We start from the raw sequence: 27,722 nt of genomic DNA, 5'->3' as shown, positions 1-27,722 counted from the left end.
AGGAAATGTTCCTGACTCTCCCTTCCCATGTATCAGCTTTTTCCCCACTACACAAAAAGGGTCAATGTTGACTTCTGGGGTCTAGACTTCTGAGAGGTCAGAGGTGAGCATGTGCTCAAGGGGCCACTCATCAAACAAGTATGAATTGGGCTTCAGCTGCTATCAGGCACTATGCTAGGTAAGGCAGAAAGCAAGAGAGATCCTACCTAGTCCTAGGGACACACAACCTCAGAGACAAATGCAGAAGGCAGTTACCAAGCAATTACGGTCCAACATGTCTGGTCCAACCTTTTCCTTTACTGGTGAAGAAACTGAAACTTTAGAGGGAATGAGCTTGTTTACATGCAAGAAGTGAATTTGAGATCAAGTTGGGACTCAAATCCTATTTCACAATTAGAATTCTGTCCTAACATTCAACCCAATTCAATAAACATTTGTTGAAAAATCTATGATGTGCATTAAAAATTTTCAGTGCTTTATTTCTGAAACTTTCTCTGTTCAAAAAGCCTTTATACCTCCCTCATTCCTACTGCATCAAGTGCAAACTTCTTCCTGGCCTTCCTGACCTTCTAAGATGGGCCATGAGGCTATCTCATCAGTCTGGGTCCCCATCACTGCCCAGGGGCCGCCCCCTCTGCTGCAGTCTGTGTGTCTCAGCTCCAGTTCTTCTCATCCTCAGGCCCCACCTCACTCAGTCATACCACAGGCACACTCTTTGCCCCTTCTGATGTGCTTTGAGGCTTGGGCCCAGGGGCAAGACACCAGAGGACTGCTCTCAGCTGCCCACAGGGAGAACTGACCTGAATGGAAGCCCTCCAGGCCTGCACTAACACTCTTCTCCATCCACTGCCACCCGCCCTGGTCTGCCCCGTACCTCCTGGCTCCTACTCCTCTGCTCAGAGCACCCAGCAAGCATTCACCTGCTCCCTCATTGTTGAATTGGCTCTTGTTTGCTCATTCGATCTCTTCAACGATCTGATAGAAGCCCCTTAGCACTGTTCTGGGCTCGCCCTGGTCTTTCCAGAGAACATCAACAAGAGGCAGTGCAGTGTAGTGGCCATGGAACCACACCAGCCGGCTGCAGTCCCAGCTCCACCAGGTACAGCCTTGAGGGGCCCTGGACAAGTTAATGTTCGTGTGCTTTGATTTTCTGCATCTGTAAAACGGGGGTGATAATAGCACTTCCTCATAAGGTTGAGTAAATTAGTTAATACTTGTAAGGGGAACAGAACAGTGCTTGTCATAAAGCACCATAGAAGATTAATTTTTAATAAAATAGAACAAGTGTAGGTTCTAACGTTATGTTGCTGATGCTCCTAGCAGTGTGTCCTTGTCTCCAGCCTGCCTGTGAGGGGGCACCCACTGGGGGAGCATTCTGAGCCTGTTTTGGGTAGAGAGGAGAGCAGACCTGCTCAGTAGGCCTCCGAGTGTCCCAGAGACAATGAGGTCATGGCATGTGTGGTTACCGTTGGCAGCCGGACCTTCTGTCTGGTGTCCTGGCCAAAGCGCATTTCCTCTGCTCCCACACCCTGCAGAGCCCATAGGCCCCTTGTCCAGCCTATCCTCCTGTGTCCCGTCTGATGCCACCACCCCAGTTCCCTTCACTGCATTGCTTTGCCAGACAGAGAGGAACAACAACTTGGTGCCAGATGCCCCCTGGGGTCTGTCCTGCTACAGGGTCCAGGCTTGGGGAAATGGCCTCCCTTCACCCAGCAACTGCTTCCTTTCCAACTGCTCACATCCGTAGGAACCAAGACTCCTTTTAAACACTGGGCTGGGCTTGCCTTTTTTCACCAGAGAGCATGCGTTTGTCTAGTGGGCCTCAGGACTGGCACGAGCTTCTGCTTTCGTTTTCCTCTGGTCTCTTTCACAAAGTACCTCTGGAGTCTGGGGCTCTCAGGGACCGTTTTCACTCTGGGATACAGCAGCAGATGCTGCACATATTTATCAAATGAGATGATGCTCACGAGGGGCTGCTCAGCCTGGCTCTGTGAGTGACAGGGCTGCCACTGCTGAGATCAGGAGGCAGCTCTGTGCCAGGAGGCAGCTAGATACTGGGCCAGGAAATGATAAAAACACAGCCCTGCCTGGGAAGAGCCCCTGTCTAGGGAAGAAGCAGGGAATAAACATGGGTGAGTCCTGGTGCTTGTCCTCACACACTTCATCTCACGTGAGACGCCCTGCAAGACTTAGCATCTTCTGCTTGCAGACAGGCAGCCTGCACTGGGATGGGGAAGGAAGGAGCTGCTCAGAGTTTTGGCCCCACAGAGCCACAGAGCAGCTCTCAGACCCCATCCTGCTCAGATGCAAAGCCACATTCCCTGCAGAATCCTAGGCTGAGGCTGGCATGCAAAGTAACCAGCTCTTTCCAAATCTATGTTCTGAACTGCAATTTTCAATGACTTAAACTGGAAAAAGGGAGAGATGAAGAGGTGGAGCACAGGAAAGTTGGAGGGCAACAAAATGATCCTGTTGGACCTTGTAACGGTGGGTCCAGGACATCAGGCAACCCACAAACCCTAGAGAGCATCCAACACACAGGACGAACCCCAAGGTAAACTGTGGACTTCAGTAAATCATAATGCACCACCATCGGCTCATCAAGGGTAACACATGTGCCCAACCAAAGCATCTTATAAATAGCAGGGCAAGAAGGAGGGGGAGAGGGAGTGTATGGGAACTCTCTGTCCTTTCTGCTCACTTTTCTATAAACTTAAAACAGGTCTAAATAATAAAATCTATTATTTAAAAAATATGAAAGAGGGAACAGTTGCACCAGTGTCGCAGGCTTATTGGGGGATTAACTGGGATCAAGGGCTGGCCCCTTTGTGCTTCAGGATGTGAGCACCTGCTTCCTGTTGGCCTCTGCAGGGCCAGGCTCAGTCCTGTCTCTGAGCTTGCCTGAGGCAGGCGGGAGATAGCTCCTCCATAGCAAGAAGCCTGAATCTGCATCATGGCTCTGCTGCTGCTGCTCTGCCCTTTCCTTATCTCTGTGCCTCAGTTTCCTGAATGATTTGGTGAGGATGTGAATGTCTTTGCTCCCTTCTCAGAGCTGAAGAGCACGGAGGCGCAATGTGAGAGACTGGGAAGTCTGGGAATGTGGGACACACGAGGCAGGCTAGGAAGGAAGGCAAAGAAAATGGCCTGTGTCTCTCTAGTAAAATAATTTATAATCCTGTGGGTATATACCCAGTAATGAGATTGCTGGGTCAAATGGTATTTCTGGTTCTAGATTTTTGAGGAATCGCCAAATCATTCTACGATAAAGACACATGCACACTTATGTTTATTGCAGCACTATTTACAATAGCAAAGACTTGGAACCAACCCAAACGCCCATCACTGATAGACTGGATAAAGAAAATGTGGCACATATACACCATGGAATACTATGCAGCCATAAAAAAGAATGAGATCGTGTCCTTTGCAGGGACATAGATGAAGCAGGAAGCCATCATTCTCAGCAAACTAACACAGGAACAGAAAACCAAACACCACATGTTCTCATTCATAAGTGGGAGTTGAACACTGAGAATACATGGACACAGGGAGGGGAAACAACACACACCACGGCCTGTTGGGGGGCGGGGGGCAAGGGGAGGGAGAGCATTAGGACAAATACCTAATGCATGTGGGGCTTAAAACCTAGATTACAGGTTGATGGGTGCAGCAAACCACTATGGCACATGTATACCTATGGAACAAACCTGCATGTTCTGCACATGTATCCCAGAACTTAAAGTAAAATTAAAAAAAGAAAAAGAAAGAAAGAAAGAAAGAAAGAAAGAAAGAAAGAAAGAAAGAAAGAAAGAAAGAAAGAAAGAAAGAAAGAAAGAAAGAAAGAAAATGGCCTGTGGCTAATGAATGCAAAAGACAGACACTGTTCAGCACAGCTGAAGAACAGGGAATTGAAAGGGCGTGTCCAGCCATCTGAGGGAGCTGCCTGCACTACAGTATTTCTTGTTGTTCCACCAACAGAGTTGAAGGCACAGGATGCCACTTGTGACTGTGGCGATAACATTCCTCAGCCTCACTGAGCTCCGCTGACCCATCTGTGAAATGGCTGCTCCCTGCTGGCCTCAGAGATCTCCTGTGAGAAATAGATGAGGTAATCCAGGAGAAATATCTGGTGAAGACAGACACACTCCATAAGTGTAACTTTCCTTCTCTCTTGCTGATGGTTTTTCCCTTGAGCAAAATGAACAGGCAGGCTTGGTGCACATCAGGAATGAGCGGGTTGGGTGTTCTGGAAGCTTCCGTTTCCTTCCCACAGGCTGCCCCTGCCGGCAGCCAAAATGAGTTTGCCTCTCCAGAAGCACATGAATTCTCAACAAGATTACACTCTGTGAAATCATAATCCCCCGCCCACTGAGGGACAGACGACATATGGAAACTCTCTTCTGTCTAGAAATGCTCTAAGCCAACAAGACAGCCATGTCTGGGAAAAGTTCCCCAGGCCCAGGCTCCTTGGGGCGAGTCCTGATGTCACCACCTCTAGAGGAAGGGGCTACCAATGGCACAAATTATGGTCAGTCTTGTGTTCACACAGAGGAAAGCAAACCCAGGCCAAGAGGTCTCCCTCTTCAAAGAGGAAAATAAACTCACACGTGAATAATTCTTTAAACACTCTCCAAAGAGCTTCCACAAAACCCCAGTTACCATATTCACTTCTTACCACGACATATATGTGAAAGAGGGTGGGGATAATTTTCCTTATTTTACCACCAAGAAAACTGAGATTTGGAAAGGCCAAATGAGGGACCCAGAGTCTCTCAGAGCCAGGAAAGGGGAAGTTATATCCGTCCTTGGATTCCCAGCTGACCCTGCTCCCCATCAAAAAAAATCTGAAATCTGTTTCTCATCCTCATCTACATAGACATCTGGTTGTTATTTGTCTTAACTTGTTGCCCATTTCATAAGTCTAGAATCTTCTTAGCAGCATCCAAGGCCTCATGCCATGTGGTCATCCAGGTTTCTGCTCATGCTGGACGCCTACCCCACACATTCACACACATTCTAGTCCAGCTGGTCATTCCGACCACCTATCTTCCATTCACCCACCCACACTTAGCACGTAGGATATCTCAGATCTTAAATGAGACCCTTGGGAAACAGAGATGAAGCAGTCACTATCCTCGAAGATGTGCAAAACTCAAGTCTCTGAAACCCTTTTACATGTATTACCTCATTTAAGCCTCCTCATAACTTTGGAATCAGGTAAAATTATCCCCATTTTACCGAGGACAAGACTGAGACTGGGTGAAAGGAAAGGTTTTGTCTGAGGGTCCACAGCCGGAGGTGGCCCTGGGCTCTTCAGATTCCTAGGTCAGTGACTCTGTCCCGACCACTGCAGCTGATACATTCCCTGCTGCATGTGGTAGCTGGAGGAAAAGACGTGGATGGAGGATGTTTAGGTTGGTCCAGGGCTCACTTCAGCCCTAGGAGTCAGTGGGGAAGATGGAGGCCATAGATGGGGTGATCAACAGGTTTGTGATGAGGGACAGGCCATTGTTCACAAGTGAGGCCAGTATTAAAAGGAGGTGAGAATCTCCTTATTGATACAGCCCTGATTCCAAATCAGATGGCTTCCCTGTGGGCAGAAGAGCTATGTAACTCATCCCCTGGGGTTGTTCAGGGCAAGTCAATTCTTGGCCCTGCTGTTCCCTGACTGTATAGTCTTAAGCCAGTTTCTAATCTTCTTGGGCCTCAATTTCCTCTTTAAACTACACACTCACACATACACACACATCACAAGATAAGACCTGTAATGGACTTGGAGCAGTGAAGCTCAGACATGTAGTAAGTTATCAATAAATGGCAACTATCATCCTTGTCTATGGGTGTCAGTATCCCCGGAGGGTCTCCCATATGTGCTAAAATTTCCACTGTGTGCCTAGCTTGGCTGGAGGAGGAGCAGGGGCAGTGAGGGGATGGGTCTTGGGGAAAAGGGGCTGAGCCTTGGCTCAGGGGGTCAGCAGCTCCCACCAGAGGCAGCAACTCACCAGAACTCAGGAAGCCGAAGACACCCACTCGGTAGCTGGCAGTGACCACGATGAGGTTGCCAACAGCAGCCAAGAAGGAGCCGTCGATAGCCGGCCATCCTTCACTCTCCTCCCTGTCCATGGTGTTGTGGAAGAACACCAGCACAGACGCGTTAGGGGCCTGTGGGTATTGGAGAAACATGAGGCTAAAGTGTGGGGAGGGCACCTTTCCCATGCTTGGAGCCTGATTCTTGGTTGACACAGGACTCCTCTGGCCAGCTCTGTGGCATACTTAGCCCCATGCAGTGGATGGAGCTGTGTCCCTCTAAATTTATACATTGAAGTCCTAGCCCCCAAGACCTCAGCAGTTCACTGTATTTGGAGATAGTGTCTAATGTGGTAATTAAGGTAAAATGAAGTCACCAATAGGACCGGTGTCCTTATAAGAAGAGGGGGTCAGGACACAGGTACAGAGGGAAGGCCACATAAAGACACAAGGAAGAGAAAAGGAACATCTACAAGCCAAGGAGAGGAGCCTCTGAAGGAACCAGTCCTGCAACACCTTGATCTTGGACTTCTGTCTCTAGAATTGTGAGAAAAATCTCTCTGTTGTTTAAGCCACACAGCTTGCAGTGCTTTGTTATGGCAGCCTGAGCAACTATTAAACCCCATTCATAGAGAAGGAAACTGAAGGTCACAAAAGGTGAGGACACTTCTCCCACATTGCAGAGTGAGCAGGTGTCAGAGATGGCTGCTCCCTGCAGACCTGGAGCCCGTCTCATGGTAACACACAGCCTTCCAGCTCCCAGTTCTGGCCCATGGTTTATTCCAAAAAAGCATTCTGGGTCCTTGGCGTCCCCTTTCCCTTGGATGCTCTGTGACTGGACCCATCTTGGTAACACAGAGCTAGAGTTTAGTATGCACTTACTAGGAGCCAGGCACTGTGCCAAGTGTTTACAATGGGGCCTCAAACAGTTCTGTGAAGTTGGCAGATTCTTATTATCCACATTTGACAGGTGAAGAGGCAGAGGCTTAGACATGTTGAATGGCTTGCCTGAGATCACACAGCTAGGAGGTAGCAGAGCTGAGGGTTTGGAAGTAGGCCGACCCTATTATATTAGAATCGTGTGTCTGAGCTGGGGATCTGAGGCCCCAGTTCAGGCCATGGGGTAGGCAGGCACCCGGTAACTCGTGCTCCATCCAAGGTCCTGACTCCTTGTGACATCACCACTCCACATATGATGGCCTCAGACAGACACACAGATGTTTCTACAAAGGGGCCCCCTCACGTGAGCAAACACTGCCTGAGGACCTGCCCCCGTAAGTGCTGTGCTAAAGGCTCTGCCCTAGAGTGTCTCATTTGATCTTCCACCCAAGGTGGTAGAAGCTATGGTGAACATAAGCACCCCACTCTACAGCTGTGAAAGCAGAGTTTCAGAGCAGTGGAGTCACTCATTGAAATGCCTTTCAGAGAGGAAGGGGCTGACCTGGAGTCTCTTCCTCTCTGACATTCCAGCTCAGATGCCACCACTTGGTGGCTGTGGATTCTTCGAATATGAGGTCTTTTTAAATGCCACAGAGAAAGACCAGCCTGAGTGGTCTTGAGTTCATTTGTCCTGTTCTGTGGGACAGATCAGTGAAGGGGCCCTGTGTCCCCCTCCTAAAAGTGCCCGACTCATCTTTATTGGGTAGCTCACCAACAAGGGAAAAGGCCGTTTGGCTTGTGGCTGCTGAGGCAAGGGCAAGGCACAGAAAGAAGAGGCAGTCCTCAGCTCCCGCCTCAACGACAGCCACAGGAAGTGTCCAGGAGGCTGGCCCCTCCTGTGCAGGGCCTGTCACCTGGAGGCCAGGTACTGCCCATCTGGACTGAGGTAACACTGCTCCTCCTCCAAGGTCAGGATGGGGCCCGGACAGCCCAAGGCAGAAAAAGCCAAACTCTCTGTTACTGGGAAATGCCCTAAGAAGAAAGAGCACTGGCTTTGGAACACGGCGACAGGGATGAGCCTCCACTCTGCCCATCTGAATATCCTTATGTAACTCACTTAGCCTCTCTTAGCCCCAGGTCTGCACCTTTAAGATAAGGGTAAATATATCTCTCTCCATTTTTCTGTCAATCAATTGATTGACTAATCGATTTATCAATCTATCTATCCTCCTAGAGTTGATGTGAAGACCAATAAAATCATAGATATAAAAGTGCTCTTTAAACTGCAAACCACGTCCACAGTCTTCTTCCTGACACTATGGAAAAAGCACACGCCCATGGTCACCACTCACTGGTTCTAGCCACAAGCTCTGAGGACCAACTGACCAAGTCCACAGATCACTCACTAACTGAGTGTCCTTAGGCAAATCACCTAACCTCAGCTCAGCAGGCCACAGAGGAGGAGACTGAACTGTGCTGGCCACAGTGGGGACAGTGGATTTCTAATGGGACAGTCTTCAGGGCAACCATAGCAAGTGCTTTTGAACTCACCACATTCTGAGGGATGAACACATTGAGATACAAACAATCTTCACTGACTCCAGGAGACGTGGATGTTCTGGTGCCTGGCTGCCAGCAGCTGGCCCTGCAGATACAGACTGGGTGACTTCCAAGACATGCTCCATCACCACCCCTCCCCACCCACCACCATGGTCAGAGCCCACTACCCCATTCCAAAGCCTGGCATCCCACCAGCTCTGCAGAAATTAGGCAGCTTCAGGAAATGGGAGTGGAAAGATTCAGCTTCAGTGAATGGAGGGAATGACAGAGTGCCCACCGCTCTCTGGCCACTGGCCTGTGGAAGAACATTCCCCAGAGACAATGCACCAACTTAGAGAAGTCTGCTGATGCAACAGCTTGAGATAGAGAAGAAGACAATGAAAGCCACTCAGGACCTTGGCCCTTCTTTGCTCCAAGAGTGCAGACTCTCCTCTGGAGGGGGTGTCCTACCTGCTTTCTACACCAGTACAGAGTCCTACAGTGCTGGTTTGAGCAACTCCCAGTATGAGAGCTGACTACAGCTGTGACTATGACTAATGGCAGCGCAATGGTCATCTACCCAATGGGTGACTTGGCTCATCACCTAATCCTTACTAGCCCTGGACTACAATGACCCAAGCTCTCAACTACTCTCCACTCAAACCTATGTGACTCCGTCATTTCATCTGTCAAATGGGTACATCCTAACATGGTAAGGCACTTTAATTCACGCATATTTGTTATTTTTGTTTCCCAGCAGTGGAGCAGATGGAAATCCATGCCTTTCCACTCCGACTGCCACCATCCTAGCTGAAGCCCTTATCACCCTTTTCCTGGAGTACTTTAAGAGCCTCCTAGCTCATCACTCTATCTAGTAATGGGCCCATGGACCTGCTTAGCAGCCAGCCATGGTGATAATGGGTATGGAGGTTGCAGCTGCCTGAGGATAGAGCCATGGGGTACCTGTTGGGAAGGAGATTCAGTTGGGAAGGAGAAGAGCAGCAGTAATAAGTGCTGTTTTCACAGATACTCCGAGTATGCTTTAATTAGAAAAAAATCACAATATTGTTCTTCAATATGCTTGCTATTTAAAGTGGTATACACATGGAAAAGAGGAAAAAATGAAATTTTTGATGAGGAAAGAAGATAGGATATGGGTGCCCTAAAAAAAAAAAAAACTTGTAATTTTTTTCCTAGTGGGAAAAATTTCATTAGCTCATTTACTTTCCCTTCAATGCTGTGTCTCCCAGCTTCATTAAGATCAGATATGGCCAGGAAGCTGAGCTTGGCCACTGCAATAGCGGTGCCAGTGATGTGTGAACCCCACTTCCAGGCTTATTCTATGGGAACCTCTCCTGTCAATTATTTCACAGCCTCTCTTCCTGGATCAATGTCCAGGGGACCTTGGAAGATTCATGCTGAAGAAGGCAGAGCCTCCATCAGCCTGCGTCCCTGAATCACTGCATGGAGCAGAGCATACAGGCCCCTCCATCACCTGATGGGCTTTACATGAGCAAAACAGTGTTAAGCCACTGTTACTTAGGAGTTTATCTGTCACAGCACTTAATGATATCTTAGCTAATATATTCCATCCTCCATACATTGCTTTATCCAAAATGCACTGCTCTGCTACTGAGTCCCATTTGGATAGATTAGAATGGAGGAGATTTCTCTGAGCATTTACCAAGATGTGCTCCACTCAACCCATACCTTGGCTTGCTGGCATCCCAGGAGCCTGTCCAGTTCAAGGGCTCTGGTGCCTGGAAGCGCCTCTCTGCCAGGGGCGGGGCAGCATATGGAACTCCAAGGAACTGGTCCACTTGCTTCCATGAGGTACCCACCTGGATGGCCTGGGACCTGCCCAGCAGCCGGCCATGGGTGGAAATGGGCACAGAAGGTACAGATGCCTCATAGCTGAGCAGAGAGATTCCTGTTGGGAAAGGGAAGAGAAAGGGGTGAGGAAGGGGAGAGGCCTCAGTGAGTGCTCTCTCCACTGGCATTCTGAATGTGCTTTCAACAAAAGAAAAATCACGGTTTTTGCACCTTGAAAATGTCAATCATTCATTCAGACCCCTACAGCTTAAATGTAGTCAGGTTTTCAATGTAAACAAACAAAAAAAATGGCAAAAACAGCTGATCTTTATTAGGCACCAAAATGCACAGAATGCAATGCTAATCCCTTCTATACATGGATCCAGGCCCAGGACCCTTTACCAGCACCCTGGGGCCTTTTGAAAGAACAGAGAAGCAAACAGCAAACAACACCCAATCCCCTGGGGAGGTCTGGAGTGCAGCCCCACCTTTAAACACAGCCAACATTTCTGTGGTGAGATGTGTGGGTTACTCATCCTGAGAGAGATGAGTAAAGAATAGAATTTCTTCAGCCACCCATGTCAGATTTTGCTGCCAAATGAGTTAGCTGTAAACTTACCAAAAAAAAAAAAAAAAGACTTTTAGGACTTTTGGGTTTCAGAATTGCAGTGCAGGGGTTGCAGGCCCACATTTACATCTCATTAGTGAGGGAAGAGATGTAGAGGTGGAGGCCTAGGGCCTGCTAGGATCACAGGTGATATAGGGTGATGTAGGATTCAAAGCCACACCTTTCTCAACCCCAGCTCTGACCACACCCCATGCACAAAGGGTTGGGACCAGTTCAGAGCTTTGCCTCTCTCTGCGCCAAGGTTGCCCTGGGTGCCCCAGCTTGTGAGGCCCTCCTGCCCATTTTTTCATGTCCAAATCCCTCCTTGTCCACAAGGCCAACACTGGTGCCGCCTGCCATGCCTCCCACCCTGCTCCATGCAACACTAATCGCCAGCGACGTTCATCAGTTTCTCTGTAGCCCTATCTTGTTTCCTCGACGACATTTTCTTTCATTCATTGATTGATCTGGTAAACTTTTGTTGGGCCCAGGCTCAGTGCCAAGTACTGTTTTCAGGAACTTAAGACAGGCCTGTCTGATGCCACACAGGACTCAAAGCCCTGCACAAAGGAAGCGGTAAACACTCATGGAGAGATACTTCAAGTGTGTGTGAGAAGTCTCTTATTTCTGACACGTAGATTTGGTCTGCTGAACTCCACTCTCGGCTGATTGACAGACAAAGCCTTTCTGCTTTCTCTGCAGATCCTTCTATAAAAATATGTATCTATTGCAGTGGTGACTAAACAAGACAGTGGGGAGAGGAGGCAGATAGACCTGCAGACAGAAGTCCATCTACTCCGCAGGAGCTTTGTATCATATAGAGGTTCTCAACTGGAAGTAATTTTGCCCACAGGGGACATTTGGCCACATCTGGAGACATTTTTGGCTGTCACAGGGGTCAGGGAGAGATGCCACTGACATCTGGTGGGAGAGACAAGGGCTGTTGTTAGACATCCTACAGTAGGCAGGACAACCACTGCTCCCACACATATACAACAAAGAATACTCCAGCCCCAAATGTCAGCGGGTTCTGAGGTTGAGAAGCCTGGGTATCATGTCTGTCCTTGACTTCCAGGTCACTGAGCGTCACCATGGTGAATTGGTTAAGGAGTCAAGCAGATCTGGGTTTTATGCTTATGGAACAGCTAGTTATTGGAAAAACTTTACAGTCTTTCTGCCTATGAAATGGGAACAATAGCATCTCCTACAACAGGAATAAATAATAACACCTGTAATGTTCCAAGCTCAGTGCCTGAAAAATGGCAGAAGTCCAACACATAAGTAAATGAATGAATGAGTGGAAGGAAAAAAGGAAGGAATTGGCAGGGGTGGGGGGACACAGGGAGAGAAAAAAAGAGAAAGAGGAAAAAAAGAGCAAATGAAGCCTTCTCTGTCGCAAAGACATTGGAATATGAGTTAGAACTCAAAATGGAAACTCAGGCTGGAAAGGAACAGTTGCTGTTTTTTAATCTGGCCTCAATCACAAATCATGGCTGATGTCACCCCATAGTTCCTCCTTGCAAAACTTCCTGTCACAATCATAAATCAAGGGGTCTTGGGCAAGCACTCAGGACCGTGGCTGCTGAAGTGCTGGAACCTCATTCTGCTATGCAGGAAACAGCCACATTTTGTATACGTGGCACATCCAAAGGCGGGAGCAAAGCCAGAACAAATATAAAGGCTGAAGAATTTTGGGGGAATGCAGGCCTGCTTTCCCATGGCAGTGGTATTCAGTCTTCCCTTCAGAGGCTGCCCAGTGAATCCCCAACTCAATGAGATCAAACACGGGGAAAATGTTAGATGTGAAGTTATCTCTTTCAAATTCTTTTGCAGAAATGGTAGATTCTTTCTAGAATACCCACAGAGGCCACGTGACTACCTGGGTTAAGAAAATTATCTGTGGCCATGTGTATTAGCTGTAAACAAATAACGTCTGTGTGAAAGTTGAGACACCTGTAGATGCATATGTGCACACATCTTTTGGAAGTGAGCATTTCCCATTGAATTTTAGTCACACTGAAGTAATAGAGAAGCAGTCTAATTTGTGTTTTACAGAACTCAAACCTCAATGTTAAGTCATTTTTCAGCAGAACTACCACACAGATTGCCCACACTGTTGTGAAATATACTATTAAAATCTATAATCCCAGCAGTTTGGGAGGCTGAGGCAGGTGGATCCCTTGAAGCCAGGAGTTCAAGACCAGCCTGGCCAGCATGGCAAAACCCTATCTCTATTAAAAATAGAAAAATTAGCTGGGCATCATGGCATGCACCTGTATTCCCAGCAAGGCATGAGAATCGCTTGAACCCGGGGGGCAGAGGTTGCAGTGACCCGAGATTGTGCAACTGCACTCCAGCCTGAGTGACAGAGTGAGACTCTGTCTCAGAAAAAAAATCTACATAGCCTGACTAAATAATATAAATGTCCAGATAAAGAGAGGGCAAGACTTACGATTGAGGGCCTAACAGCTCATCACCTAGCGATCAAAGCATTCTCAGGTCTGGAAGACACTCTTGTGGTCTGAAGGCTAAGGCTGAGGAGGGGGCAGAAGAGGAAGATATCTCTGGAATCAAGACAGAACCAAAGGACTGTCAATGCTCTAGGACAGCATGGGGCCAAATCTGCTGCTACTTGGTTTTGTAAATAAAGTTTTATTGGAACACAGTCACATCTACTGACTTACATGTTGTTTATTGCTGCTCCCATGCTACAATAGCAGCTGATTAGTGTTAACAGAAAAGAATGGTTGTAGAACCTTGCTCTAGAAGACAAGATGGCAGATGTAGCTAACAACAGTCATCAATTTCATCCAATAAATATGTCTAGTGGGGGAGGGGATTCCCCCAGATGCCCAGTCCCTGTTTCCTGTTCTACAGCTCTTAGCAGTCTTACTTAGTGATGGATTTATGGCTACTCCCTCTTGCCTTGCCTGGAGCCCCAGAACCAACACAGTATCTGACACGTGTTTTAAAACTAAACTCAGCCAGGAACAGCTTCTCTCTCTGAAGTGTTTAGATGCGATAGTTAGGCTGCATGGCTTTGTGGGAGAGGATTGCATCTTGAGATAGGTGATCTGGCTCCAAGTTCCAGCTCCATCATCATTAGCTGTGTGAAATCACAGAATTAACTTAAATTATCTGGGCTACAGCCTTCTGATTTCTAAGACAGGGATAAAGCCCTTATCCTGCCACCACACAGGATTAATGTGAGGACCAAATGAGATAAGGCCTGTGAAAGAACTCTCTAAACTACAAAACCATAATAAAAAGTGGGCTTTTGAATTATTTTACTAAGAAGCTTCAAAACCAAGATGGCTTCTATAACTTAAAGGAATAAATGAATAAAACTGATACAGAAGTAGGAATTTTTTCTACCTTCCTTCAGTCTACCTCAAGTGAGTGCCACCTAGCCCAGAACTTTGGCCAACAAAAGCCACTGTCCTCCAACTCACCAAGTGTTTAAATAGTCCCTTCCCCAGACCCAGTTTCCCAGGATGGCTGCAAAGGCATAGGCTTGGGCTTACCTGGCTTCCGGTAGATGTGGGTGGCCTCTTCACGAAGCAGAAGTCGGCAGTTCTGACCCTGCAGACTATGTGTGCAGCTTTGAGTATCAGCATAGAACATACATCTCACAGCCCCAGGTTGGGTTTGCAGAGTGGTGATGAGACAGGCCTCATGTTGGGAACATTCTGCAGAAAAGAGGGAGAAGAGTGATGCTTGGGCCTCAGAGATGTTACTTCACTCATGCATTCTTCCAGTCATCCATCCAACCATCCACTCATCCACCCTTCCATCCATCCATCCTTCTATCCAATCATGCATCCATGAATCCATCCGTCTATCCATCCATTCATCCATCCACCCATCCACTCATCTACTCTTCCATCCATCTACCCTTTCATCAAATCATGTATCCATGAATCCATCAATCCATCCATCCACCCAACCACTCATCCACCCTTCCATCCATCTATCCTTTCATCCGCTCATGCATCCATGAATCCATGAATCCATCCATCAGTCATGCAATCACTCATTTATGTGAGCACTACAATAAATCCTAGGCACTGTACCAGGGGATGGAAATAAAATGGTAGCAATGAGAAACCCAACCCTCTGATCAATCTACTTTCCATGCAGCATTAAGGTCTTTTTTGTTTATTTAATTTATAAATGTGCTCTTGTTATTTCCCTGCTTAATATATCTCCATGGCTCCCCATGCACTTAAGGATTACCTCAAACAAGGCTCTCCATACTCCGGCCTTTATCTTCAGCCCTGTCTTCCTCTCCTGTTCTTCAATGCCTCCTCAGCTGGCACCATACCCAGTGTTCCACCAGGGACCATGCCCTTTCCCTTGCATGTCAAGTTCTGCACTAGACAACTTAAATTATATGACATTCAGTCCTAAGAACAGTTCTGAAAAAGTGCTGCTTCATTTTATTGATCAGGTTGTTGACAGCCTAAGAGCCCTATTTATAGCTCAATTTCTGTGAATGGTACCACCCAGAGGTGTGCAGTGCATAACCTGCATATCTGTACATGGTGGTCCAATCTGCAAGATATGCATAGCTTTGTGCATATTATTATCCAACCTTGCAGAGAAGGAGATTCATGGAATTCATAGAACCTCAGTGGGGGTTAGAATCTTGGCAAGGGTATAAATGTTATCTGATGTCTCCCTCTTTCAGAAGCTAAAATTCTTTGTAGAACATTCCCATCAAGTGGTTACCTAGCTTTTGTTTAAATACCAACAATGACCAAAAACTCTCTAAAAGAATTATGCATCTGTGGGCAGCTTTGCCTATTAAAAAGTCATTCAACTGCATTGAAAAATGTCTCCCAAAATTTGAGTTTTACCAAAACAATAGCTCTTAGGTGTATCCCACTGGCCAGACAAGTGTACTTCCTCCTCACCACAACAGCCCACCTGCTAACTGAGGTCAGCTGCCAGAGCTGCCACGCATGTGCATCTTTCCTGCCTCAGACTAACCCACTAGATCATTCTTCTGATCTTCCTCTGACCTGGGTTTATGTCCCTCATCTTCTGGCTGGCATATTCCCTTGGACACCTTGGCTGCCCTGTGGGGTAATGAGGAGACTTCACCCAGGTCTTCTTCCCCAGGTTAATCCCTTACTTCCAAGCATCCTAGGTTATCGTAGTGTCTCATGTGTTTTTCTAAGTTGAGAATCTTGAGCAGCACTTGTGTGAGGTTTTGTCCCACCCAACCTGTGGGTTGGAAACTCCCCTTACCCGACAAACAGAGGTCTCGGACAGCAGAGAAATTGCTGGTGGCAGCAGTGCTGACATGGGCAACATCAAAGTGCCTAATGGATGGATCAACAACCACTGAAGAGAGGGCCAGGGACTGCCACGAGTCCAGAGACACTAGGAGAGAAGGCAACGGACAGTCACATGCAGTTGTCACCTGGTGAGTAACAAAGACAGCCGTGTATTACCCAATATCCCCAAAGGCAGCCTTAGGGGCATCCTCCTCTTGGTCTCCATTCCTGTGCAACCTTATAGCTTGATCCATCTTTCCATTCTACAAGTATTTATTGAATTATTTATGAGCCAGATTCTGTGCTCAAGCCTAGGAATACAAAGGTTGAAAACAGAACGAAACAAACAGAAAGCATGGCTGTTTCTATTAAGCAGCTCATAGTAGAATGGGAGAGAAGTTGAGAAGAAAGAAAAACATCATGATATAATTGTTACAAAGCAACAGTTAAAATAATATGAGGTAATGATACTAACAGACATATCAGGTTAATCATGTGGTACTATGCTCAGGTCTTTACAGACACTACACCAGTTGCTATCAGTTGTTTTCTGTAAGGGACACTGTGGGGTGCCATTTAGACCCCCTGCAGTACTGAGACCCCCCTGCAGGACCAAGGCTCTCATTTCCCCAACTGTTGTTAAGCTGATGGCTGGCAGCTCCCAACTGAGTCTCTCTCTAGGAATTGTCTTTGATCTAAGAGAACTGCCTCCCCTTCCCCATGGACAGCCTGCATCCCAACACTGTCCATGGGGGTAGATAAAGGTTCGTACCCCCAGCCTCAAGATGGAACAAATCTGAACGGCCAGCCTAGCTTCAGAGCTCACTGGAAGATCAGTGGGGCCATCATTTGATTTGCATCAAAGTTCTTCTTCCTCTGGCCAATCCTGCCCCTCACTTCCTTCTATATCCCAAGCATGCTCTGCACCAAGCTTCTTGCATGCAAATCTCCATCTGAGAGTCTGCTTCTCGGAAAACCCCAGCTAAGACGTCTTCCTTTATATATGAAGAAAATAAGACACAAGAGGTTAAAATGACTGGCCTGTGAGGGCACTGTTCCTGCTCGGTGGAACAGGATTGGAACTGGCCTTTGTATGTAGTGAAGCTTGTGCCCTCCAACTGCTCTCTGGTGCTGCCTCCCTAGTCCTGTACGTAGGACGTGGCTGTCTCAGCATGGGGGAGGGAAGCACAGGCATAGCAGCCACAGAGATGGCTTGGGCAGAGGTGAGGAGGTGAGCTCGTCCCATCTGGTGCAAGGGCCGTGCCTAGAGCCAGACGAAGTGAGGGTGATCCTGAGTTTCCACTTAAGTTTCCACTGAGACAAAGGACTGTGAGTCTAGGTCAATGGATGTATCATACTTTCCACAAATAACACTGAAGAGCTTGAAAGGCTGCCTCTCAAGATAGGCTTCCATGATCATTCGGGAGAGCTGATTCCAGAACACTCCTGCAGAGATGTTCAGTGGGGCATCAGTGATCATTAATAAAGAAAATCTCTGTCTCTCTGTAACATACACACACCTTCTTGCTTGCTTTTGTGTTTTCTTCTTTCTTGTTTTCTTGCTTCTTTTCCCAGAAGACCACAGTAGTGTGTCCTTTAATAAATATTTGGTAGCATTTACCTTGTGTTAGCAGAACACTATGGCGATCACAAGCATAGCACTTTGAAGTTTACAAACCATATTCACTTCATCATCATGTTTGATCCCGAAAGCACCCAAATGAGGGGTTGGGTAGGGGCTCTAGTGCCTCTTTCACAGAGGAGGAGTCAGAAACTCAGAGAAGTTATATGACATTTTTCAGAACATGGAGCTGGAAAATAACTAGGCCAGAAGAGAATCAGATGTCTTGGCTCTAAGTCAATGCTCCTTCTATCCTGTCTGAGTTTCCTATGCAGCTGAGCACCTTTTCCAGAACATTATCCCCAGGTATGAAAGGGTCTTTGCCTTTGATAACACCCTGTTCTTAGCTATACAGGGAAGTTTATAATTTTTATCTTAAACCTGTCTTTGACAACCAGCACACTGGTGGAGAGTTCACTAAAATTAGACTGGTAAATAAAGCAGCAAAACAATCTAGTGCCATGTTTTGGTTGCTCAAGCTGCTATAACAGAATACCATAGGCTGGGTGGCTTAAACAACAAACATTTATTTCTCACAGTTCTGGAGGCTGGAAGTTTGAAAGCGGGGGGCCAACATGATTGGGTTCTTGGTGGTGCCCTCTTTCTGCTTGATGGATAGCTGTCTTCTTGCTGTATCATCACATGGCAGAGAGCAGAAAGACCAAGCGAGCCCTCTGTTGCCTCTTTTAGAAGGGCACCGACCCCATCATGAGGCTCTGCACCCTGATCAGTGCCCAAAGGCCCCACCTTTTAATAACATCCCATTGGAGGTTAGGGTTTCAACATACAAATTTGAGGAGGATGCAAACATTCAGTCTATGACATGTCTATACTTTTTTACATTAAAAAAAGAAAGAAAAAATAAGAGAGAGAAAAGATTCATCCAGAGAAGTTGCCAAATAACATAATGTTTCACCCAGGCCCGGCAAGAGGAAGGTAAACCTCCATACTCTGTCCTGGAGCAGTGGGTGCCATCCTAAGACTCAGGAGATGTGTCTTCCTGAAGTTGGGACCTGGCTTGACTGCAAGAGATGCTGGGTTTTCATTTTCTTAAGCATCCTCCACATGTTGCTATTTTCATGGTCAATATAAGGGGCATTTTTGCAACATGACCAAACTGAGCTGCATATTTTTAGAGGGTGAGAACACTGCAATTTTAGAGAAGTTCTATGAAAGGGTTTTAGGGCTAGACTCACCAATTATGGTCTTAAAATGGAAGCCTTGGCCATACTCTGTGTTTAGGTTGATGTCTGGGAGAAAGCACTATAATTAAAGAGTGAATTTCATCTCCAAGTGAAAACCAGTTCATCTGTCACCATTCCAGGGCCTGGAGCCAAGTCCTGCCATTCCCTCCACCTGCCACTGTCCCCTGGCCTGCATGAACCCCTGGATGAGTCACTGCTTTTGTGCAGAATCCAACATCTGGGAGGTCCACAAGTATCTCATGAAAATTCTGAGAACAAACTCTTTGTGGAGGCAGAAGGATGATGAAGCAGGAAAGTTGGGGCTCTTGGCAGCATTTTGTGAGAGTTTACTATTTGCTAGGAACTTGCAACACTGCTGCATTTAGTATTCATGATAACCAATGAGGTGGGTACTGTCACTGTCCAAGTTTACAGACAAGGAAACAGACGATCCAGTAATACACCCTTTTGCTTAGCCAATCGGCTTAGCCAGTGTTAGCATGGCTAATTAAGTGGTAGCGCTAGCTAGGGCTGGAGCCAGTTCTTGCAGGTACAGAACCCAGAGTTAGTACATCACAGACTTCCCCTCCAGATGAATGAGGTGGTAGCAGCTTCCAAGCTCACCCAAAGTGTGAGTCTTTTCCTGAAAAGTAGAGTCTATGGTTTATTGATTAATTTTTATTTTGTTTTTTTTTCATTTTTCTATTTTTAGTTCATAGATTGCAATGCTAGTGTCATTTATTTTAAAATATAATCTCTCCTTTAATTCAAAATGCATGCTTATCGCATCGTGAGTACTTATCTGTAAGTGAATTTGTTTTGGTGGGTGTTTCTTCTTTTCCATGAATGTCTTTGCAAATCCTGGCTCTGCCTCCATCCTGCTTAAACCATAGTCACTCTGTATTTTATCATCAAATGGTAAAAGTTTCTCCACATTATTTTGTTTTGTAAAATATCTCCTTGGCTATTCATTCTTTTGGATAAAATTTACCATTTCAAGGTTCAAGAAAGCTTCATTGGGTTACTTGGAATGATCTCAAAGTTAAACATTAATTTGAGAGAAATTTTTTGATTTGAATGTTATTTAATATTAAACTTAATATTTGATGCCATTAAGAATAGAATATGATATTATTCCATTATATTTTCAAAATGGTTATTGTTGACATAGAGAAAAGCTATTTACTTATGTGTTTATATTTTCTAACAGGACAACTTACTAAAATCACCATCAATGAAACTCACAGACATGGGTGAGACAAAACTGGTTCAAGATACTCTATCCTTTTAGTGGGGTATGGGTCCCCTTTACTGACCCTGAGTGGCCACCTAGACTGGTTTGTCTAAAGATTTGACTAGAAGATTCCTAGTTCTCTGCCTCAACACTCCAGGCTCCCTTGACACTACTTTCCTTAAAAAAAAAAAAAAAAGAACTAAATTAGACATATTTCTAATAAATACCTCATTAATATATGCCTATGCCTTTAATTGTCTTTAATCCCATCATAAAATTATAAATTCAAGTCCTATTTTTATAGTCCAAAATTATAAATTAAAGTTCTATCCTTGTCTAAAATTATAAGTTCGAGTTCCGTCCTAAAACAAATCCTGATCAGGGTCAAGTCCCAAATATAATTTAGACTTGAGTTCTCCAAAAATGAAGCTAATACTAAAAACCTACCTCCACTAAAATACTCAGTCTGGTCTAATTCTAGTTTTTGTTTATCTGGCTGGCTATATTTTTGGTCTGTGTAACAATATCTGGCCCAAGAAAAATTAAAGACTTTAACGGGCACAAAAAAAGCCTTGTAAAAAATCCCCAAACTAATTGATCTACACACTCAATGGAAACAAAAGGACTCCATAAACTTAAAAAAAAATTTAAAAACACATTAAAAAAACTTACAAAGTCAACTCTTGTGTTTTCTTCCGTCCCCGCCTCTCCTCCCCCTTCTCCCGGTCTTACTCCTTCCAGCGCCACTCCAGTCCCATGACATTTCAGACTTAGCATAAAAATAAAGTCCATAATTTTAAAGGCCTAAATTAAAAAGGCTCTGTCTTTTGAACTCTGCCTGCTTTACTAAATTCTTGCAATAAAAAATAAATCATCCCAAACTAAAACAACAAAATACCGGACAGCCAACCTCCAGTCAACACTTCAACAAATATCTCCCTGGGTGACAGGAGTTTACTAAAAAAAAATTAACATAAAAATGGCCAAAATAAAATTGTGAAACCTTAAAACGTGCCAGGTTTTCTGAGATTCCAACTGACTACATATTATGGCCCATTCTAATACACATTTTAAAACCACTGGCCAAATCACATTAAAAAATTCAAAACTGAAATCGTGATTCAAAAAACCTATAACTAAAAAATTAACATCTCATCTTTTAAATTATTTGCCTATTTTTTCCTGTTCAAGTCTACTGGCTTTTCTATTACTATCAAAATACAACTGACTATTCATAATATTAATAGGCTCTTTGTTGTGTGGTTACTTTGAAAACAGGACCAAAACTATATTCCGGTCTAGCAAGGATATGCCTCCACGAGGCAGTAGATTGGAAACCTGCGGTATTAACTAAGTCAGCTGTGTATATTTGTTCTTTCAATCATGTATTCATTCAACAACTATTTACGGGCCTCCTCTGATACTCCAGGACTGTACCTGACAGCCAACGGTGGCAGCCTGGAAAAACAGTCTAAGAAGCCAAAACATTTAAGATGATTCTTACCCGTCCATCGTAGTTCTCAAACTTGGGTGAGCATCAGATTCTCTTGAGAAATGTGACAAGAATTCCAAAGTCCAGGCCCAGTTCTCACTTCAAAGAGCTGGGGCCTCTGTAGTCTATTAACTTTCCTGGTGATTCCGACACACGTCCAAGTTTGAAAATGACTGTGGTCTCTAAGATATCCTTTTTGGTTTTGGTTTTGTTTTGGCCATGATTGCTGGAGACACAGCTTAGGCTAGTGAAGAAACAGTTCTGAGTTCTAAACCTCACTCAGCCTGACACTGTGTGTCCTCAGGCAAGTCCCTTAACTACTCTGAGAAACTCTAATTTTAAAGATCTTTGTGTTACGCATTGCCCTTGTTCATGATCTCTAATAAGCATAATGTCTCTCTGTAGATGACACATGGACCATTGCGTTTGTGGGGTAAATTAATCCATCAGCACCTTTGCTCTGAGGCCCTTGGATCCAGGCCTCAGGAAAGGAGTTCTTTTCCTCCAGTGCAGGGAGAAGATGGAGTAGGAGGGAGAGGTGAGCCGAGAGGAAAGCCGGACAGGTTGGCTCCTACACAGTGACTGTCCTGCCTGGTAAGAAGGGATGCCCTCCATGCTCACTGGCATGCTCCCTAGTGGTGCGAGACCACACAGCCCTCTGCACACCTCCCGGGGAGCCAACGCTGGTTAGAGAATAACATCAGGGCCCCCTTATATTGCCAGAAACCAGAGAAGAGTTGAACACACCCAGCAGCTGACACTAACAATTGGCTATGAGTGTATGTCAAAAATGGGACACAGTAAAGCAGCCAGACTACACTGTGTGACTTTGGGCAAGCCACTCCCCTTCTCTGAGCCTCAGTTTCCTTATCTATAAAATGGTGATATTAAATGACTGTCTCTCCTAGGGTTGTAACCACAAATGAATGAGTTACTAGATGTGAGCTGCTGCCCAGGGGAAATGCTCAGCAAACACAGCCACCTTCACCGTCTCTGGGTCAAGCTACTTGGTTCCTGATGCAGTCTGGACACTGTTTTTTCAAAATGATGGGGCTCTCAGCCTGGATGGAAGTACCAGGGGTGTCCTTTAAGGGGCACAGGAGCCCAAACTACTGCCAGTTATGTCCCCACCAAACATCTGACTCCTGACTTCCACCTGACCCCTCCTCCCCTCGCCCCACTGTCCCCCTGTCCCCCTGTCCCAGGGCAGCTTGCTTCCTGCCCAGGAGGGCCTCCACAGCCTCTCACCTCCTGCGCAGTGTGCCTGCGGTGCCATGGGCTGGGCCTCAGTTTTCATGGGAAACTTGCTGCTGAATTGCAGCAACATCTATAAACTTCAGTGTTTCAAGGTTTCACGAGCTTAGCAAGTCCCAAAATGAAGCCATTACTGTCCCCCAGTGCTCCTTTTCACTCGTACACCATGTTCTTTCTTTCCTCAGGGAATGTTTCCACCACTCCCTCCATTGTCCAAACCAGAAATCCTATCATCCTTATCGCCTCCTCCCAGTGGAGTCTACATGCTCAGCCCCTCTAGGAACTGTCTTTTCTTTTCCACCTGGTTCTGGCCTCATCAATTTCACTGCAGTTACCATGCAGGCTCCAAACAAGGGCCTCCTGATCATGAGTCTCAGCCCACTCAGGCCATTCTCATGCTGGTGCTGGGATAACCAAAACCGTTCTAACATCCGCATCTGGTCACAGCACTCACCACCTATGGTCCTCCAGGGTACCAGGCAGATGTGTGGTTGGCAGGGTCAGTCACTCCAGCTGCATTGCAACCCTCCACTTTTACAGGGTGGTCCTGTGTGTCCCCTACTCTCACCCACTCACCAAACACAACACACATTCAGAAGTGAAAACAATATCGATTTACAATGTAATTTCAGTTACTTATGTTAACTCGCATTGATCTTCATAACAGATGGGGACACTGAGGCACTGGAGGAAAGACCACAGGATACTCCCCCAGACCATAGAGACACCACCTAAGATTATAGAGGCATCATTCAAGGTTACAGAGGCACCCCCAAGGTTACAGAGGCAGCCCCAGGTCACAGTGCAGAACTTAGTTGAGGTCCTACCAGCAGGACACAGGAACTGTGCTTTTCTTCTGCTGTGCTATATAGTCTTGGATCTCCTCATTGAGGTGGTAATTGACAGATCAGCCCTCATTCCCAGCAGCTAGTAGGCACCTTCCCAGCCCTTATACAGCCCCACAGCATGGTGGTTAAAGGTCTTGGTGACTCTTTCAGTGAGTAGGAGTAGCTCACCAGAAGGCCCTAAGCCTTGGAGGAGAATATGCCCTTGGAAGTAAGAGGCCTTGCCCCTTCCATGGGCAGAGGGGCAACAGTGGCCCTGAAGGAAGAGAGACTCATTGAGGTCATACAGCCTCTTTCCTCTGTGACCAGATAGACTAGCAATGAGTGCTACTATCTATTTAGCAGGTAAGAAGTGCTTAAAAAGTCATGTAAAGATTAACTGGTTCCATCTAATGGTACTTCATTGAGATGAACTGTCCTAACCCTACTTTATAGGAGGGAAAAGTGAGGTTCACAGAGGGCCACTGACTTGCCCAAGACCAAACAGCTGAAAGGCAGGCAGCAAGTCAGTGTTTGCACCCAGGACAGCCCTATATGGTGATACCCCCTGCAAACCAGAGCTGCTGAGGGGACAAGGGCAGAGGAGAAGGAAGGGTCTGGGAGGGATGATGGGGGCAGCAAAGAGGCAGGAGGTGATGGGGGCAGCTTGGGTCACCTCACAACCTGGAGGCAGCACAGCTGCAGTCTCTGCACAGGCGGGCCTCTGGGTGACATGGAGGCACTTCTATTCCTTTCTAGAAAGCACCATATCCCCTTTTTTAAAGCTTAATTTTTATTTTTAACGGACAGATTATAATTATACATATTTATGGGGTATAATACAAGGTTATGATATATGTATATGATGCAGAGGAGTACTTTTTGAGATCTATTACACAGCACAGTGACTATAGTTAACATATGGCACATTTCGAAACTACTAAGAGAATCAATTTCAAATGTTCTCACCACAAAAAAAAAAAAAAATAAGTATCCGAGGGATGGCTGTGTTCATTTGATTGATTTAAGCATTCCACAATGATTCCCTTTTTTAATGGATACTAAGTAGAAAAAAATTATGCTAGAATATATTTGAAATTTTCCATTGATATGTAGATAATCGTGTTTAATTCTCTTTTCTTCCCTCCTTCACTCTCTCCCTCCCTCCTTCCTTATTTCCTTTCTTCTCTTTCTTTTTTTGTTTCTTCCTTCCCAGACATCAGTTAAAGGAGAAAATGTTTATTTCAAGGTTTATTTTCAGCTGTTAAAAATTGCCAAAAAGCCTTTCAGCTGGAACCACCATCTTCCAGTAATTCGCCAAAATGACAAACACAAAGGGAAAGAGGAGAGGTACCTGGTATGTTCTCCAAGCCTTTTGGAAAACATGGAGTTGTTCGTTTGGCCAGGTACATGTGAATCTGTAAGAAAGGTGATATGGTAGGCATCAAGGGAATGGGCACTGTTCAAAAAGGTATAACCCACAGGTGTTACCATGGCAAAACTGGAAGCGTTTACAATGTTCCCCAGTGTACTGCTGGCATTGTTGCAAATGAACAAGGGCATGATTCTTGACAAGAGAATTAATGTGGGTATTGAGCACATTAAGCACTCTGGGAGTCAAGATAGCTTCCTGAAACACGTGAAGGAAAATGATCAGAAAAAGAAGCCCAAGAGAAGGGTACCTGGGCTCAACTGAAGCGCCAGCTTGCTCCACGCAGAGAAGCGCACTGTGTGAGAACCAGTGGGAAAGGCCAGAGCTGCTAGAACCTATTCCCTATGAGTTCATGGCATAGTAGATGTTAAAATAAAATATAAGACATCAGACTGTAAAAATGTTTCTCTTCATTGAGTAGAAGTGTGATGTCCTCTCCCCCAAAGAAATATTTAAAGCAAATTTTAATTGTGTCTGAATTTATTGTGTAATGTATTTGCTATTCAGATTTAATGTATTTCTTGCTGAAAGATGTGAGGCGGCTTATTGAGCAACAAATTAATCGCTTAGAAAGTGGCCAGATATTATTTATGAAATATTTGTACTGGTTTAAAGACAGTCCAACTAAATCATCATGGAAGAAGTAAAATAATTTACATTAAAAATTGCCCAAAAAATTACACATCACTATAGAGCTGCATGCACCCCACAGGCAGAGGTCTGCCGCTTGCTGGCAGGTAATGACAGGTGAGCTTCTGCTCTGGCCATTGCCTCCCTCATTTGAAAAACAGGCGGAAAGTGCCTCCAAGCATTTTTGTATCAGATCCAAGGGCAGAATGTCAAACCGGCAGCAAATGCCTGACACTCTCTCCAACGTTCAAATAATCACAGACCCATCCCATTTATTGTATAAAAAGATCACATGACTTTCTTAGGACTCATCAAAAATAAACAGTGAGTCCAAGGCATCCAAAAGTCTTCAGGATCCTCACCCTTCTTCCCGCAATCAAAACCAAGAGGAATTTCTTTCAGCTGCTCAGCACTCATCAAGTGATTGCTCCTGAATATGGAATAGCTGGGAAATAGAAGAGGCGGTTTCCACACCTGCACAGGCTGGCTGGGGTAAACCGTGACATTCTGAAACCTTTCAGGCAGGAAAAGTCTTTCAGGCCCCCAGCAAACCTTCATGATCCCTGTGATAAGCAGAATAGAAGTGACTGGAAGCTGCCTTGGAGGCCTGTACGGCCACAGGGCACTTGCTGGAAGGAAGAGCCCAGCTCACGTCTCCCTGTCGTCATCGGACGGAGACAACATTGCATTGAGACATCCTGCTTTCTCACCAGAGACCATCATTCAAGTGAGAACCAGGACATAGTGGCCTATGTTTGTTCTTAACAGCATTTATCAAAGACCAGATGTTCCTTTGATAACAGAAGGAAGGAAGACCAAATAAAGACATCCTTGTAATGTTGTGGTTATTTGCAGAATGAAAATGGGAGGAGAGCTGCTGATTGGTTCAGCATTTCTCCAGGAGAAATTCTTTACACTTGCAGCAGACACTCCTGGGCCTCTTTCAACATTCACAACCCTAGAAAAATACCCAGACATCCTGACCTCTCCATTCAGCCTCCAAATACCTACTGTTGAGCTCTTCAGTGAGCACACTCTTATCTTCGACTCCGCATCTCAGTGCTTAGCAGAGGGGTGACAGTAGGTGTCATGGGTTGAACTGTGTCCCCCCCAAAATTCACACGTTGCAGTCCTAACCCGTAGGTCCTCAGGATGTGACCTTATTGGGGTAGACTCTTAACAGACATAATCACGTTAAAATGAGTTCATTAGAGTAGGCCTTAATCCAATGGTGGTCTGGTGTCCTTGTAAAAAAGGGAAATGTTGACAGAGACACGTGCACAGAGGGAAGATGGAGTGAAGAGGTGCAAGGAGAGGGTGCCATCTACAAGCCAAGGGGAGAGGCTGGGGACAGATCCTTCCCACAGGGACCTTGGAAGGAATCAACCTTGTCTACACTTTGATCTCAGACTTGCAGCCTCCAGAGCTGTGGGAAGATGATGTCTGTTGTTGAAGCTACCCAGTTCGTGGTACTTTGTTATGGCAGCTGCAGCCAAGTAACAAAATAAGTGTGCACTCGGTGACAGCATCCACTCACTGATTTACAGAGGGCCTGCTCTGCCCCAGTGCTGCTCTCTAGCATAAAATGCTCATCATACTGATACTTCCCACCCTATCGCATGCACATAGTCAAATGGCTCATAGGGTTGAAGCATCTCCTGTACGAAGCGGCACAGACATAATGTGATGTGCTCCGTGTGTTGTCTCCTTCCATCCACACGCAGCTGTCTGATGTGACTCTTCCGGTCACTCCTGCTCTAAGAGGTGGCATTGCACATTTTAAGGAAGGACCACTCTGGGGCACTCTGCCTGGCCAGATGCCAGCTCTGCCTCCTGCCAGCTCTGTGACTTGGAGTAAATTATACGCTAAGTCTCAATTATTGGTCTTTTGTTTTAATTTGTGAA

General features: G+C 45.9%; 1 protein-coding gene, 1 long non-coding RNA gene and 1 pseudogene across 13 annotated transcripts in view, besides 1 other annotated feature; 1 reads left to right on the top strand and 2 right to left on the bottom strand.

The window, feature by feature from the left end:
• The window catches only part of TG (thyroglobulin), a 267,942-nt gene that overhangs the window by 106,747 nt on the left and 133,473 nt on the right, over positions 1-27,722 (bottom strand). For 9 of the 12 annotated variants that reach the window (NM_003235.5, XM_017013794.2, XM_006716622.4 and 6 more), the window contains 5 exons: positions 16,118-16,252; positions 14,389-14,553; positions 10,156-10,375; positions 8,458-8,551; positions 6,003-6,162 (listed from right to left, as the gene is read on the bottom strand). In NM_003235.5, the coding sequence (NP_003226.4) occupies positions 6,003-6,162; positions 8,458-8,551; positions 10,156-10,375; positions 14,389-14,553; positions 16,118-16,252 (774 nt within the window). Of the gene's footprint in view, positions 1-6,002; positions 6,163-8,457; positions 8,552-10,155; positions 10,376-14,388; positions 14,554-16,117; positions 16,253-24,993; positions 26,381-27,722 lie in introns of those variants that run through there. The other 3 variants (XM_017013800.2, XM_017013799.2, XM_005251040.5) reach the window with 2 other exon arrangements.
• Positions 10,567-14,382, bottom strand: LOC105375768 (uncharacterized). Its single transcript, XR_928666.1, has 2 exons — positions 13,317-14,382; positions 10,567-11,785 (listed from the first exon to the last, which is right to left on the bottom strand). It is a non-coding gene; the product is annotated as an uncharacterized LOC105375768 (long non-coding RNA).
• Positions 11,344-11,473: an enhancer, noted in NCBI's record as "active region_27992". NCBI's record gives its function as "activates an Ori minimal core promoter by ATAC-STARR-seq in GM12878 lymphoblastoid cells {active_cell/tissue: GM12878}" and the evidence as "EXISTENCE:reporter gene assay evidence [ECO:0000049][PMID:35858748]".
• On the top strand, positions 25,038-25,576 carry RPL21P78 (ribosomal protein L21 pseudogene 78; annotated as a pseudogene).

The sequence above is a fragment of the Homo sapiens genome, chromosome 8, assembly GCF_000001405.40.
Source record: "Homo sapiens chromosome 8, GRCh38.p14 Primary Assembly".
Lineage (NCBI taxonomy): Eukaryota > Metazoa > Chordata > Mammalia > Primates > Hominidae > Homo > Homo sapiens.
This window is presented reverse-complemented; position numbering and strand designations above follow the sequence as displayed.